This window comes from Homo sapiens, chromosome 5, assembly GCF_000001405.40.
Source record: "Homo sapiens chromosome 5, GRCh38.p14 Primary Assembly".
NCBI classification, from domain to species: Eukaryota; Metazoa; Chordata; class Mammalia; order Primates; family Hominidae; genus Homo; species Homo sapiens.
In genome coordinates, this window is record NC_000005.10 from 55737522 (window position 1) to 55753212 (window position 15691).

The 15691-nt window shown below is 39.3% G+C and overlaps 1 protein-coding gene and 1 pseudogene across 6 annotated transcripts in view; one reads left to right on the plus strand and one right to left on the minus strand.

Moving 5' to 3' along the window:
- The first annotated feature begins 539 nt into the window (after window positions 1–539).
- Window positions 540–15691, plus strand: part of DDX4 (DEAD-box helicase 4) — a 79097-nt gene continuing 63945 nt past the window's right edge. For 5 of the 6 annotated variants that reach the window (NM_024415.3, NM_001142549.2, NM_001166533.2 and 2 more), the window contains exons 1-3: window positions 540–580; window positions 1429–1511; window positions 8643–8700. In NM_024415.3, the coding sequence (NP_077726.1) occupies window positions 1443–1511; window positions 8643–8700 (127 nt within the window). In that variant the 5' untranslated portion in view covers window positions 540–580; window positions 1429–1442. Of the gene's footprint in view, window positions 820–1428; window positions 1512–8642; window positions 8701–15691 lie in introns of all 6 variants that reach the window. The other variant, XM_024446119.2, reaches the window with a different exon arrangement.
- Window positions 12667–14550, minus strand: LOC107986371 (S-phase kinase-associated protein 1-like; annotated as a pseudogene).

The window sequence follows — 15691 nt, forward strand, 5'->3', positions numbered from 1 at the left end:
CACCTCCTCCATGAGCCTCAGCTGCACTTTGAGGCACCTGGAATCCCCGGATGTGGAGCGAGTCTCTGAAATGCAGAACCCGAGGGGCCAACCCATGGACTGTGATGGGTAAAAGGGGAGAGAGCACTAAAGAGGCCAAGTAGGGAGGACATTATCCCTTTCCCCTTTTATTATTATTTTTTGTTAGAAAAAGGCAGGTGGACATATTTAGCTTGCGAAGCTTGCACAAGGAAAATCCAGAGCGTCTCCAGAATAAGGATCCCACGAGAGAACGTGGACACAAGTAGGCCCTCAGCCAGCCTTGTACCCACAGGCCCAACAGGCCACTTGGCTATGAGGCCAGAGCGTCGCCATAGGGGCCCGAACGCTAGCGTTTAGGGAATCCGCAGGCTAGAAGTGGAGGCGGGACGCCACTGGTCGTCTGAGCGCTGATTGGCTGGTGGCGCTAGTCACCAGCCAATCGTCAACAGACGCCATTTGTTGTTGGAGCCACGCACCTGACGCAGTGGGCGTCTTGCACGTGCAGCCGTTTAAGTCGCGTGGGCGCCTGCGAGGGCTTGGGAGAGCAAGCCGCGGAGAGGTGAGTGGGCCGCTTTTCTACGGGAACTGGCCTGAACTCGGCCGTACGGGCTCCCCAGTAACCGACCTTTGGCCAAAGTGTGGATGGAGTAGGAGGAGTTTTGAAGCCGTCCTTCGAAGCCTTTCTGCCTCGGGGTCTCAGAGTCCCACGGGTGCCCAAAGTCTGGGCTTGAGGCCTGCAGAGGAGGCGAAGGGGCCTTATTCCTGGCTTCTTCACTGCGTTTTCTCTGAACAGACATGGTCCGAGTACCATTTGTGTACAAATCCTTCTTGATGAAGCTGGTTGTCCTTTGTCGGCAGGATTTGGGCAACCATACCCTTCTTCCCTTCCCCACTAAAATCCAAGGCCTCCCTCTTCACCGAGTCGCCGCCCCCCTACCCAGTCGACTCCCGTACCCCTGTCCCCGCCCCCACGCACGCCACAAACACCCCAAAGCAAACATCCTATCCACCTTGGATGTTAATCATGCGAAGGGAGAAATCTTAAGTAGTTTCTGAAAAAAGTTGCCTCTCCCTTAATATTCAGTAAGTCGTTTGGGGACCCTTTGAGGGAGGAGATAAAGTCTATGAACAGATGTTTGGGAAAAGCCTAAGTCTTGCTGGGGACATGGCGATTGCTAGAATGACTAGGTAAGAGGTTCAACTAGTTTCTAAAGCTAAGAAAGGATGGAGATAAATGCCACCTTTAGATAAGAAGAGACCTAATTCCTTCTTTGGAAAAAACTTTTGGGGTATCAGCACCTAGTTGGGTAGTTTCAAGATGTATGTGAAACAATGAGTTTATGCTTTTAAAGTTATGATTCTGATCTAATTGAGTCCAAATGTGCATTTTTTTTTTTTTATGAATAGAACTTGAAGCCACCATGGGAGATGAAGATTGGGAAGCAGAAATCAACCCTCATATGTCTTCCTATGTTCCCATATTTGAGAAGGTAATAACATTTAAAGTTTAGTTATTAAATGCTACGGATTTTATCAAAGTTGAAAATCACTGTGGTGAGAGTTCTAAATTATACAGTCTGTGTCAGTGTTTATCTCCATGTGATTGTTATTAACTATTATATGGGGAATAAGAGACAACCTAAGCCTCGTATAGGATACAATAGCTTGAGGCAATTTGATAATTAAAAGCTAAAATAGATGTAAAAATATTAATGACCTAATTTAAATCTCAATGATTTAGGACTTCCTCAGGTGAAAGCAAACTTGGGCAAATGTGGTTGATATCAGTGAAAGACGCTTGTATGGAAAATTGAAAACAATAATTACGTTTTGGGAGATATTTTAAATTCTGAAAATTGATTTTGTGCAAGGAGGGTTCTCAGGATAAATGATACTAGGCTGATTGAGTTGGTAACATCAGTTTGTATGAATCTTCAGATCTTTTTTCTTAATGGCATTTGGGGAGTTACATTGTAATTTAGGGGACAGTGGGGTAAGTTTTTTGGGCTTCAGTTCTGACTTGGAAATTGGCTTTAAAAAGATGAATAGAAGGTACTTTAAAAGATAATAGATTATTTTTGCATGTGTTACTTACTATATGGTGTCTCTACAAGTTGATTTTTTTGTTCCCCTTCAGAATTTCCAGTTTGAGTGTATGTCAGTTCTGACACTTTCTGATTTCAAGTTTTGCCTTAGTGGAAGTTCTTATTTTAGACAAAAATATAAAATATGCAATCTTTTGTCTTAGTTGAATTTGATCTATATGTGAAGTTTATATTAAAATACCCAAAATACTAATATAAATTTATCATGTTTCTTTTCTTGGAACTTTTTAAAAGAAATAACATGTTACCTTTTTTTTTATTTTTTAAAATTTTTGTAGAGATGAAGTCTCACTATATTGCCCAGACTGGTTTCCAACTCCTGAGTTCAGGCGACATTCTCAAAGTGTTGGGATTACAGGCGCAAGCCATTGCACCTGGACTGTGTTATCTTTTTATAGTTCTCTTCTCATAATAAAAATATAGCTTTTTTGGGAAAAGTGGAGAAAGTCACCTACAAATCTTGCCCAATAGACAAGCACTCCTGTTAAAATTTTTAGTCAATTTTCTTCTGTTTTTTCCAAACATTTTTTGTTTGTTTTTGATACAGTGTCTTGCTCTGTCACCCAGGCTGGAGTGCACTCATGCAGTGTGGGCTCACTGCAGCCTCTGCCTTCTGGGTTCAAGCAATTCTCCTGCCTCAACCTCCCTCAGCGAGACTACAGGCGCATGCCACCACGCCCAGCTAATTTTTGTATTTTTAGTAGAGATGGGGTTTCCCCATGTTGGCCAGGCTGGTCTTGAACTCCTGATCTCAGGTGATTCACTCACCTGGGCCTTCCAAAATGCTGGATTACAGTCATGAGCCACCGTGCCCAGCCCAAACATGTTTTATATAGTTTTGATGATAGTATATAACAGTAATTTTTTTTTTTTTTTGAGATGGAGTCTCACTCTATTGCCCAGGCTGGAGTGCAGTGGTGCAGTCTCAGCTCACTGCAACCTCTGCCTCCTAGGTTCAAGCGATTTTCCTGCCTCAGCCTCCCAAGTAGCTGGGACTACACGTGTGTGCCACCACGCCCCGCTAATTTTTTTTTTTTTTTTTTTGTATTTTTAGTAGACACAGGGTTTCACTATGTTGGCCAGGCTGGTCTCAAACTCCTGACCTCAGGTGATCCTCCCACTTTGGCCTCCCAAAGTGCTGGGATTACAGGCATGGGCCACCACACCCAGCCATATAACAGTAACTTTTGAATCCATCTTTCTTGACACTTCAGCACTAACTATTCCATATTACAACTTTTGTGGGAATTTCAGTGGTGTTAGCTTCTCACTGTGTATTGTCATTAATGTTTACATCTTACTTGTTTTAATTTGGTAATTTTTTTCAAAAATGGAATTACTTGTTCAGAGGACATTTTTTATCATTCTTTTTCCTCCTTGTTCTCAATAGATTTGTTATAACACAAAGTTTAATTCACAGATAGATACTTTATTCCCCCTGGTCTTAATAGCCATCTGTCCAATTTCTTTTTTCTTAGTTTGAGATTTTTGTCTTCATGAAGTGTTTAAGCAGCACACTGCACTATAGCGTGTTGTGCATATTTATTGCATTGGGTTTCTGAAATTAAGGATGACTGTCAAATCTTTCAAATTTCCCTTTTTGGGATCTTTATGCTATTCAATAACATAGTTTCTTCACATTGGGAATACTAAATTGAATATGTTGACCAGTCTACCTTATGATGCTTAATACATTTGTGTTGGGTGAATTTGTAGTGTATCTTTTGCATTTGTCTGCAAACTTAACACCTGGTGTTGTGCTGGTTGTGCCATTAGTTCTATGCTTAGTTGACTCGAAGGAACATGGTGCAATCAGGATCTTTATTTGCCTTCCTAGGTTGAATAAAAAGTGCAGGATGGCCAGGTGCGGTGGTTCATGCCTGTAATCCCAGCACTTTGGGAGGCTGAGACAGCCAGATCACTTGAGGCCAGGAGTTCGAGACCAGCCTGGCCAACATAGCAAAACCCCTTCTCTACTAAAAATACAAAAAATTAGCTGGGAGTGGTGGCACACGCCAGTAGCCTCAGCTACTTGGGAGGCTGAGGCAGGAGAATCTCTTGAAATTGGGAGGTGGAGACTGCAGTGAGCCAAGTCCGGGCAGCTGCACTCCAGCCTGGGCAATGGAGCAAGACTCTGTCTGAAAAAAAAAAAAAGTGCAGAAACTAGAGATGAATACATTACATTTTTATGTAGAACAAATCTAAAGTCTTTCATTCCGTTTCTTTTAAAGACACCATTTTGATTTGTTCTAACTGAATTTGGTTTTCAAGAAAAAGCTGGCCTTCTCTTTTATAGCGGCTTTATCTGTGATCATCCTTTTCTGAGTGCTTCTCAGGAGCTTTATTTGGAGACTTAATGTTGACATACGCTTATATAATTTTGAAATAATTTGTCATTGTTCTAGTATAACAGATAGAATTTTGGGTAGAACTTCTCAATTCTAAATTTTAAAGTGAGTGTACCACCTGGGAATAGAACAGCGAAAGATGTGAAGTTAAGAAAGATTTTATAATGTGGCAATTATATAGTCCAGAAATCTCAACCATTAGGCATTTGCACGTTGCCTGCAGGCTTATTGGGGTGAGTGTTAGAATGGATGGGTATGGTGAGTGTATTAGATAATTCCGTTGCTTACTTACTAGCTGTGAGGCCTCTTGTTAACTGACCGTGAATGTAAGCCTGTATAGTGATCACTTCTGTCTGATCTATTTGCCATTTTTGTGGCACATTTCAGAAGGCAAAATCTCTTGTGGTTAAAGTGGAAACAGTAATTGAGTAATTAGACCATCCACAATTATAATTTTATTAAGCAGCAGTAGCAATGTTAGCAATAATTGTTGAGATAAGAAAATAAACATATATATGATATTACAAAATTGAAAGTAAGAATACAGGTGAAAAAAATGTGTTCATCAAAATGCAAAAGGATTATTTGTAGCTGCATGTGAGAACACTTATGTGTTAAACATTCGAAATTTCTGAATTGGTGCATTTGGGTGGTTTGAGAGATAATAATGGTTTACAGCTAAGTATTTTAAGAGGTAAGCTAAAGACAAGACCTATGATTCATTCAACATATTTTTGAGTTCTAGTAGGTGCTGGAGAGAGAGTGGTGAATATAAGGTGCTTGCTGTTACATTGTATTTTACTGGAGAAGACAGAATAAGCGCGTTTGAGAACCAAATAATTATAGTGAAAAGTACTATAAAAAATTAGAGAAATGTGTGTGTGAGACTGGTGTGGGGTGGATTTAGTTGGAGAGGGAAGGCTTCTCTCAGACAGTGACTCATGAGCCTGAGACTTAAAGGAGTCCCAGCAGGACATCAGGTGCAAAGGTTCTCAAGGAACCTTTGAGAAGGAGGAGGGAACAAACTTGGGGTATTAGGGCAACAAGAAGGCCAATGTGTTAGTTTTCTGTGGCTGCTATAACAAATTAACACAAACTGGGTAACTTAAAGCAACATAAATTTATTCTCATAGTTCTGGAAGCCTGAAGTTAAAAATCAAGGTGTCAGCAGCGCTGCCCTCCCTCTGGAGGTTCTGGGACAGAATCTTTGCTTCTTCTAGCTTCTAGTGGCTAAGGGCATTCCTCGGCTTGTGGCTGCATATCTCTTAGCTCTGTCTTCACATTGCACCTCCTTTGTGGGTCTTTGTGTTATTTCCCTCTGCCTCTCTATTATAAGGACACTTGTGATGGCAATTAGGACTCATGCCGATAATCCAGGGTAATCTCATCTCAAAATCTTTAACTTAATTTCATCTGCTGTGACCCCTTTTCTCTCTCTTTCTTTTCTTTTTTGAGACAGAGACTTGTTCTGTCACCTAGGCTGGAGTGCAGTGGCGCAATCTCGGCTCCCTTCAAGCTCCACCTCCTGGGTTCAGGCGATTCTCCTGCCTCAGTCTCCTGAGTAGCTGGGATTACAGGTGCCCGCCACCATGCCTGGCTAATTTTTGTATTTTTAGTAGAGATGGGGTTACACCATGTTGGACAGGCTGGTCTTGAACTCCTGACCTCAGGTGATCTGGCTGCCTCGGCTTCCCAAAGTTCTGGAATTACAGGCGTGAGCCACCGCGCCCAACCAGTTAAGCTTTTTTAATGATAAAATTCTGTTGGAAATTATTTTTGATGTATTTTTTCAAAATTCATCTTGGAATTTGTAAGTTGGATGTATGTGGGATATTAAGTTCCATAGCTTGAAGCTTAATAATAAGTTTTTCAGTTCTTTAGTGTAAGAGTGTTTTATAACACTTGTAAAACCAGCCTTTTTTTTTTTTTTTTTGCCTCTATTCACTCTATAGTACTTTGAGCCTTACAAACAAGAAAAAAGTCTTCAGATTTTAAATAGAAAATATTGGATAATTGTTCTTGTTTTAATGTCTGTGGTAGTAATAAACTGGAACTTTTTTTTACTGTAGCAATTACCAAAACCCCAAGTCATTTCAAGTATGTTGTTATTTTTGTGCCCTTAATGATGACTCGGAAAAATGTTTGGATGACTCTTGAGCTTTTTAAAAGTAGTTTTAAAAGTCAGTGTCTTTGAGAAAGAAATTTTAGCAAATAGATGTTACCTAAAGAAGCCTACCTTGGTGCATTCTCTCTAGGTTTGGGACTTAGTTAAATGAACTTATTTGAAGGAACATTGTAACTGTTGTAATATAGTTAGTTGATTAAGAGATCATCTGTAGATTTCCTTTCATTCTTAAATTATTAAATTCTGATTGTCATGTGCAAGAATTTCAGAGCCGTATTCTGAACTTTTGCCATAATTAAAGGAAGTTTACGTGAGAAGAAATAAAGATGTGGATTAATGATGATAAGGACACCCTAAGAGTTAGTGAGAAAAAAATTACTCAAATTGTCATTAATCTAGAGCTATCCAGAGAAATGTTGGAAGGTTCCAAAATTAACCTGCATTCAGCTATTGATTTTATAATAAGTTGAATTTTCTAAATCTGGCAGTCATTCTACCACTGCTAATGTAATGCATGTGTGTTAATAGTAAATGATTTTCTTTAGCCTAAAGTAGGGAAAGTGAACAGTTAGTATTTGGGAGCAAAGACAGTCTTCAGCTACTGCTGTGACAAATGTGATTAAAATTAACCATGAATATTCTGATGCTACAGCTGAGGATATACCTTTTCATTGTAGTTGTAGTGCAGTGGCAGGTTGCATATATAAATTGTTTCCAGTCCATAAGTGAATTTACTTTACAGTGAATCCTTTTTTTTCTTTTTTTTTGAGATGGTGTGAGACAGTGTTTTGCTCTTGTTGCCCAGGCTGGAGTGCAGTGGCACGATCTCGGCTCACCACAACCTCTGCCTCCTGGGTTCAAGCGATTCTTCTGCCTTAGGCTCCTGAGTAGCTGGGATTACAGGCGCCCATCACCATGCCAGGCTAATTTTGTATTTTTAGTAGAGATGGGGTTTCTCCATGTTGGTCAGGCTGGTCTTGAACTGCTGACCTCAGGTGATCTGCCCACCTTGGCCTCCCCAAAGTGCTTGGATTACAGGTGTGAGCCACTGAGCCCGGCCAGTGAATTCCTTTTTAAAACATGAGAGTACCATTAATTGGTTTCACTATAAATGCAGTAGAGATTTTAAAAATTTCTGTAGTACTTTTCTAGAGCAAAGATTAGTGTTAAATCACTAATACTCTGTAATATTGATGAATATACTGTAATATATGGAACTTGGCATACAATAGTGTGTATTGACCAGTGTTGATTTATTCATGTATTACTTGTCAGATTTTATAATGATATTTTATTATATTTTCTTTTCTATTTTTATTTTTTGAGACGGTCTTATTCTGTTACCCAGGCTGGAGTGAGTGGTGTGATCTCAGCTCACTTCAACTTCTGCCTCCCAGGCGAAGTGAACCTCCCATCTCAGCCTCCCGAGTAGCTGGGACTACAGGCTCATGCCACCACACCTAGCTAACTTTTTGTATTTTTAGTAAAGCTAGGGTTTCACCATGTTGCCCCGGCTGGTCTTGAACTCCTGGGCTCAAGTGATCCTCCTGCCTCAGCCTCCCACAGTGCTGGGATTACATACGAGAGCCACCACACCCAGCCTGATTGTACTTTTCAGGAATATGGGTGACTTAAATGACTAAACTTTTACTTTAAGTCAGGTGTCAGCAAACCCTTTCTATAAAGGGCCAGATAATAAATAATTTAGACTTTATAGGCCTTACCTGTCTGTCACAACTTTGCTGTTGTAGTACTTCAATCAAACTCTTTACAGAATCAGGTGGCCCACCAGATTTGGCTGGTGGCTGTAGTTTTCTGACCACTGTTCTATTGATATATATTAGTACTATATATACAGTGTTAAAGTGAAGATGTCTTGGAATAATTAGTAAAGGAACATCCAGTGATTTAGAAAACCTTACAGTCTATCATTATTTTGTTCTGAACAAAGCTCAATTGTTATAATTTTCTAGTATTTGTGAAATAAATGACACGTTCATATTCAAAGTAGGAAACTAGTTTTTTCTTTCTTCTTTCTCACAGGATAGGTATTCTGGAGAAAATGGAGACAATTTTAACAGGACTCCAGCTTCATCATCAGGTATGTGTTATGGGAAAAAGGTAAAACCCTTTTTAGTTTAAGGGTTTCATCTAGTGAATGAAGAGCAGCAGACTAGTAGACATCTTGTAGAGGGTGTTTTAAAAAATTTCTTAGTGAAAGTTCCTTCTGATTTGGATATTGTGGAATGGGGGTACTTCTAGTTAGAGGAATTGAGAGAGGGAAAAGAATAGACTGTATTATTTGATTTAATGGATTACTATAAAACATTTGCCTAACTTGGAAGTTGCACATTCAGCTTCCAGGCTGCTAGGGCATCATCATCATCAGGGTTCCTGACATAAGGGAGTAGAATATAGGACTATAAGGTTGTCGAAGCAGGTTACAATGGTGATGACCTGTCAGGATAATAACTGTTTAAGCCAAATCTGTCATACCATCAGGATATCTTGAGTTTCTTTGGGATCAGAAAACTAATTTGGGAAAGGTCTTAGGAGAACAATAAAAACGTGTCAAGGTAAAGGAACCCATATCCTTCCTGTTGCGCCCTCCTCCCAACCCCACTCTGAACTTGTTTTCACTTTGGTTGCCCCTCCCACCATCATTTTTCCCCTTGGGTTGTCCAACTCTATTTTACAGAGTGGATGTAGATGGGAAGATGGGTGGAAGTGGTAGGACTAGGCTGGGAAATTGAACTCATGGCAGTAGTTTTTCACATTGTTGAAGTCCAAAACAGGATGAAATGCAATTGTTACTATATTAAAATAATTTTGACCGGACTCTGGCTCATGCCTGTAATCCCAGCACTTTGGGAAGCCGAAGTAGGAAGACCATTTGGGGCCAGGAGATCAAATGATCATTTGAGGTCATTCGAGACCAGCTTGGGCAACATAGTTGGAGTCTTTGTCTACAGAAAATTTAGGCTGGGTATGGTGGCTCATGCCTGTAATCCCAGCACTCTGGGAGGCTGAGGCAGGTGAATCACAAGGTCAAGAGATTGAGACCATCCTGACCAACATGGTGAAACCCCGTCTCTACTAAAAATACAAAAATTAGGGTGTGGTGCTGCATGCCTGCAGTCCCAGCCACTCGGAAGGCTGAGGCAGGAGAATCGCTTGAACCCGGGAGGTGGAGGTTGCAGTAAGTCGAGATTACGCCACTGTACTCCAGCCTGGAGATGGAGTGAGACTCTGTCTCAAAAAACAAAAACAAAAAAAATTAAAAATTAGCTGGTCATGGTGGCCTGTGCCTGTAGTCCTAACTACTTGGCAGGTTGAGGATTGCTTGAGCCCAGGAGTTCAAGGCTACAGTGAACTATGATGATGCCACTGCACCCTTGCCTGGGCAATGGAGCAAAACCCTGTCTCTAAAAACAAAACAAAAACATTAAAAAACTATGATGAAGTATACATAAGATTTACCATTTTAATGTGTACAGTTCAGCAGCATTCAGTACAGTCTCATTAGTCTGTAACCATCATCCACCATCTACCCCCAGAACTTTCTTGTCTTCCCAAACTGGAACTCTGTACTCATTGAAAAATAACTCCCCATTTCCTCCTCTCCCCTGATCCTGGCAACCACCATCTACTTCCGGTGAATTTGAGTTACTATAACTTTACTATGAGTCTCTAAATCGAGTTACTACTATTTTTAAGGCAGACTAGCATAAGGAAGAGGGCCTGGTGGTATCAGGTAGTAATTTTATCATTTTTCTTATAAAAAATTAGTAGATGAGGTAAAACATTTTATGGTCAAGGGAGCTGCATGCTCACTGAAACCTGGCCTATGGTGGAAAACACCCATGGTGAGGTAGTTTCCAAAATGTGAGGATAGTTTGAGAGTCAGTTTATCAGGTTAAAGCAAATCTAATTCTCATGAGCATCTTAAGTTCAGGGTAAATATCTTGACAAAAGTTAAGTTTAAAAGAGATGACTTTGCTATTTTCAAAATATGTTTATCTTTTATAAGCATTTAAACACAGTGGTTTAATACAGAAATATTCAGATTCTCAGAAGTTCTTGGAATCCTGCCTGCTGAAACCCCAGCAAAGGGCTAATTTTGCTTCTACCATATAAACTCTGTGTGTACTTAGAGTATTCCAGAAAGACAAATGGATAAACGTAATAGATACCTTTTAACATGTCTATTTACATCGATTGCTGTGTAATCAGGAGAAACCTGGTTTTTTGAGGTATGAACAGAAGCCAATATTTGTAAAGGAATGAAAGTTTAGGTCTATAGTATATTAACGCATAACACTGTTTTGTATTGGAATTTTCAAGAAACTAGACTGAAATAACCACCAACTAAAAGCTAAGTTTTTTTTTTTAGCATTAGACCTATGAATGTTTAGGCTAATGAAATGAAATCATTAATGAAAATCACTAATGAAAAATATTGATTGCCTGCTTACCTTCTTCTAGATAACAAGTACTTTTTGTAGTTCTTCATAATTTTTTATTTTTTTATGAAAATTTTCTTATTAGAGAAATATAAACCAGGACAGTGAATGTAAGCCAAGCCAATACCTAAATATGCTTATTGTTTTAAAAAAAAGGAAAAAGGGAGAAATAAAATATGAAATCTTAGCCCCTAAATTTAGCTACCATTGATGTCTATTGACTCTGATTTTTTAGATTCCTGTGTATATTCCCACATACATGATCGTATGCCACTGGCATAATATATTAATACATATGTTCCTTTTTTATAAATACTTGTCTTGTTTTTCCTTTGCTTACCCATGCTTACCTTCCATGCCCTTTTCATGCTCTTAAAATTGTATTTAGACATGCGTCTTTTCATTCTGTATTTTATAGAAATGGAATCGTGTTATATCACATCTTGCTTTTATTTAATAGTCATGGAAACCCTTCTAAACAACTGGTATTATCTGATTATTTCCAAAATTAAGCGAAAACAATTTCACATTACTTGGCTTTAAAATGTCAATAGGAGGCAGGTGTAGTGGCTTATGCCTGTAATCCCTTTGCTTTGGGAGGCTGAGGTGGGAGAATTGCCTGAAACTGGGAGTTCAGAACCAGCATGGGAAACAAAGTAAACAAAGTGAGACACTGTCTGTACAAAAAATTTTTAAAAATTAGCTGGGCGTGGTGATGTGCACCTGTAATCCCAGCTACTCAAGAGGCTGAGGTAAGAGGATTGCTTGAGCCTAGAATTTTGAGGTTACAGTGAGCATTGATCACACTACTGCACTCCAGCAGGGCTGATGGAGTGAAACCCTGTCTCTTAAAAAAAAATTCTGCTGAACCTTGCCTGCCTTGTATTTGAGGGTGGATCATTAAAATCCTGGTTAGAAAGTCAGCTCTGTGCAGGGACGCACTGATGGGCTCTACCGTCAAGTGATTGGGCCAGGGCTAGGCTGTTTTGTTTGGGAGAGCAGGATCCTCTAGTCTCTGAGATTTAAGTTTTTGTAACTGTATATGCTAGTTCCAGCCTTTCCTTCCTCCCACTCTGTCCTCACTATATTGTACAGCTTCTATGTTGCTTTTGCTGATTTCTTTATTACTCATGTTTGATTTGAAACAAGCTGTTTGTGGGAGGAAGTTTTAGGGATTTTTTGCCCTCCCCTTCCCCAAAGGAGCAATTCTTTTGTATGTGTGTGTCTTTTTTTTTTTTTTTTCCCAGAAAACTTTTTGCAAGTTGTTTTATTTGCAATGCCCTTTGAAAGGCCACGAAAGTTAACTGGATTACAAACTAGGCAGAAATTGCTTTACAAAAGGAGGGAAATACCAAAATGTCAGTTTCTGTAGAGAATCCACAGTTCAGTTTTATTCAGAGCAAAAAAAAAAAAAACTTTTAATCACACTAGAAAAAACTCAGCAATAGATTTGGAATCTGTACTCAAACTACACATGCAATGACAGTATTCTGCTAATGCAGTCGATTTGCTGTTGTATTTGTCTACTTTTTTATATTAATAATTATAAACTCTAAAGCAGTGCAACTAGTATTTGGAACAATCTTTACAGTGTCAGGCACATTTCACTTTTCTTCACACCATTGGTTCTGTGTACGTGGGCTTCCTCCCCTTCAGTAAAGTCGTTTTGATATTGAAGGTCTTGGGAATGTCCACAGGTGTTTTCTCCTTGATCTTATTGGCAGCAGTCTTGCATGTAACAAACCTTTGATAATAGCTTGCAGCTAGAATAAGGTCAAAGAGAGTTCCTTGGTGAATTTTCAGGAATTCCTGGTCCCAAACAGGATTTTTATCTCTTCATTTTTCTTCTCATTATTCTCAGGAGGAGGAGGAGGGTCATCTTTATGGGGGGGTGCACCACTGAATGACCTTTTAAAATACTGCTTCATTATTTGGTAGAGGACTGGGTCATCATATCCTTCAATCATTCATTCCCAAATCTTCCAACGTGATCTTGATAGTATAGATTGTTTGGCAATTTCTACATTAACCTCAAATATTTCTTCATTGGAACTCCATAACTAATTGAAGGCAGGCTAGAGGCTGACATGAGCCGGGCAGCATCAGCACAGAAGGGAAGGGTGGAGGACATGACTGCTCTGTGTATGTTTTTAAACGTGTGTTTTCTGAGCATATTTTGATGTGTATTTTTAACTTAGAATTTTTTTTTTACTTTTCCCCCTCATCACTGTTTAAGATATATTCCTAATTGATAATTGATTTCCTTATTTCTAATGACTGTGTGGTATTTCATATACTTTTATCACCAAGTTTTATCTACTCCCATTCTTCCTCCATGATAGGCACTGAGATTACCTCCTGTTCCCCTCTGTTACCATAGGATGGGCATTCTTGTATATGTTCATTTATGGGCCAGAGTGAGAATTACTTTGGATAGTGGACTCGAGTAGAATTACAGGGTTATGGAAAGGAGTAATGTACTTAATTTGTCTAAATATTTCAAAAATTGCTCTCCAGAATAGCTATACCAGTTTATACTCCCATCATTAGGATGTGAGGGTTCTCATAGTCCCTATATTCCCACCAACATTTGACATTTTTAATTTTAATTAATTTTAGCCAGTCTATTTGGGTATAAAGTAAAATCTTTTTTTTGTTGTTGTTTTTTGAGACAGGGCCTTGCTCTGTTGTCCAGGCTGGAGTGCAGTGCTGCAGTCATAGCTCACTGCAGCTTCAATCTCCCAGGCTCAAGCAATCCTCCTGCCTCAGCCTCCTGGGTAGCTGGGACTACAGACTTGCACCACCATGTCTGGCTGATTTTTAAAATTTTTAGCAGAGATGAGGTATTGCTATGTTGCCCAGGCTGGTCTTGAACTCCTGAGCTCAAGTGATCCTCCTGCCTTGGCCTCCCAAAGTGCTGGGATTATAGGCGTGAGCCACCATGCCCAGCATCATTGCTTTACTATGCATGTATCTGACTGTCTCTTCATATACATGTTGTTATTCTGTAAGTTTCTACTTTTGTAAGTTGCCTGTTTGTATTTTTAGTCTATTTGTCTATTGAGCTAGCTTTTCCTATTGTTGATTGGCAGGCATTGTTAATATTCTAGATTTTAGGCTCTTTCCTGATTTAGACACTGAATATCTTCTTCCATTCTGTTGTCTGTCAGCTTTGTTCATGGTATGCCTTATTAATCAAAAATTTAATTCTGAAGTTATTAAATAATTTTTTTGCTTCTTGATTTGATTTTGTAGTTTAAGAAATTCTTCACCATCTCTGTCAAAAAGTAGCCTCCTACATTATCTTCCTTAGACTTTTGCCTTTCACATTGAGCTTTTAATCGTCTGAACTCATCCTTTTTGAATCATGGTGGCCATATTTATTTGAGTGTCAAATCAAGACATAGTGTATGCAGTATGAATATACCTAAATGACTCACAAAAAAGGAATCTTTGACGCTAAAGTTTTTCTGGTCAGCCCTGACCATTGGTCTCTAGTTATTGAGGAGTTTTGTTTGTGAACTGTGGTAAACTAGACATAATAGAAAATTTACTGTCTTAACCATTTTTATTTTATTTATTTATTAATTTTTTTCTTTTCTATTTTTTATTATTATACTTTAAGTTTTAGGGTACATGTGCACATTGTGCAGGTTAGTTACATATGTATACATGTGCCATGCTGGTGCGCTGCACCCACTAACTCGTCATCTAGCATTAGGTATATCTCCCAATGCTATCCCTCCCCCCTCCCCCCACCCCACAACAGTCCCCAGAGTGTGATATTCCCCTTCCTCTGTCCATGTGATCTCATTGTTCAGTTCCCACCTATGAGTGAGAATATGCGGTGTTTGGTTTTTTGTTCTTGAGATAGTTTACTGAGAATGATGATTTCCAATTTCATCCATGTCCCTACAAAGGAGATGAACTCATCATTTTTTATGGCTGCATAGTATTCCATGGTGTATATGTGCCACATTTTCTTAATCCAGTCTATCATTGTTGGACATTTGGGTTGGTTCCAAGTCTTTGCTGTCGTGAGTAATGCCGCAATAAACATACGTGTGCATGTGTCTTTATAGCAGCATGATTTATAGTCCTTTGGGTATATACCCAGTAATGGGATGGCTGGGTCAAATGGTATTTCCAGTTCTAGATCCCTGAGGAATCGCCACACTGACTTCCACAATGGTTGAACTAGTTTACAGTCCCACCAACAGTGTAAAAGTGTTCCTATTTCTCCACATCCTCTCCAGCACCTGTTGTTTCCTGACTTTTGAATGATTGCCATTCTAACTGGTGTGAGATGGTATCTCATTGTGGTTTTGATTTGCATTTCTCTGATGGCCAGTGATGGTGAGCATTTTTTCATGTGGTTTTTGGCTGCATAAATGTCTTCTTTTGAGAAGTGTCTGTTCATGTCCTTTGCCCACTTTTTGATGGGATTGTTTGTTTTTTTCTTGTAAATTTGTTTGAGTTCATTGTAGATTCTGGATATTAGCCCTTTATCAGATGAGTAGGTTGCGAAAATTTTCTCCCATTCTGTAGGTTGCCTGTTCACTCTGATGGTAGTTTCTTTTGCTGTGCAGAAGCTCTTTAGTTTAATTAGATCCCATTTGTCAATTTTGT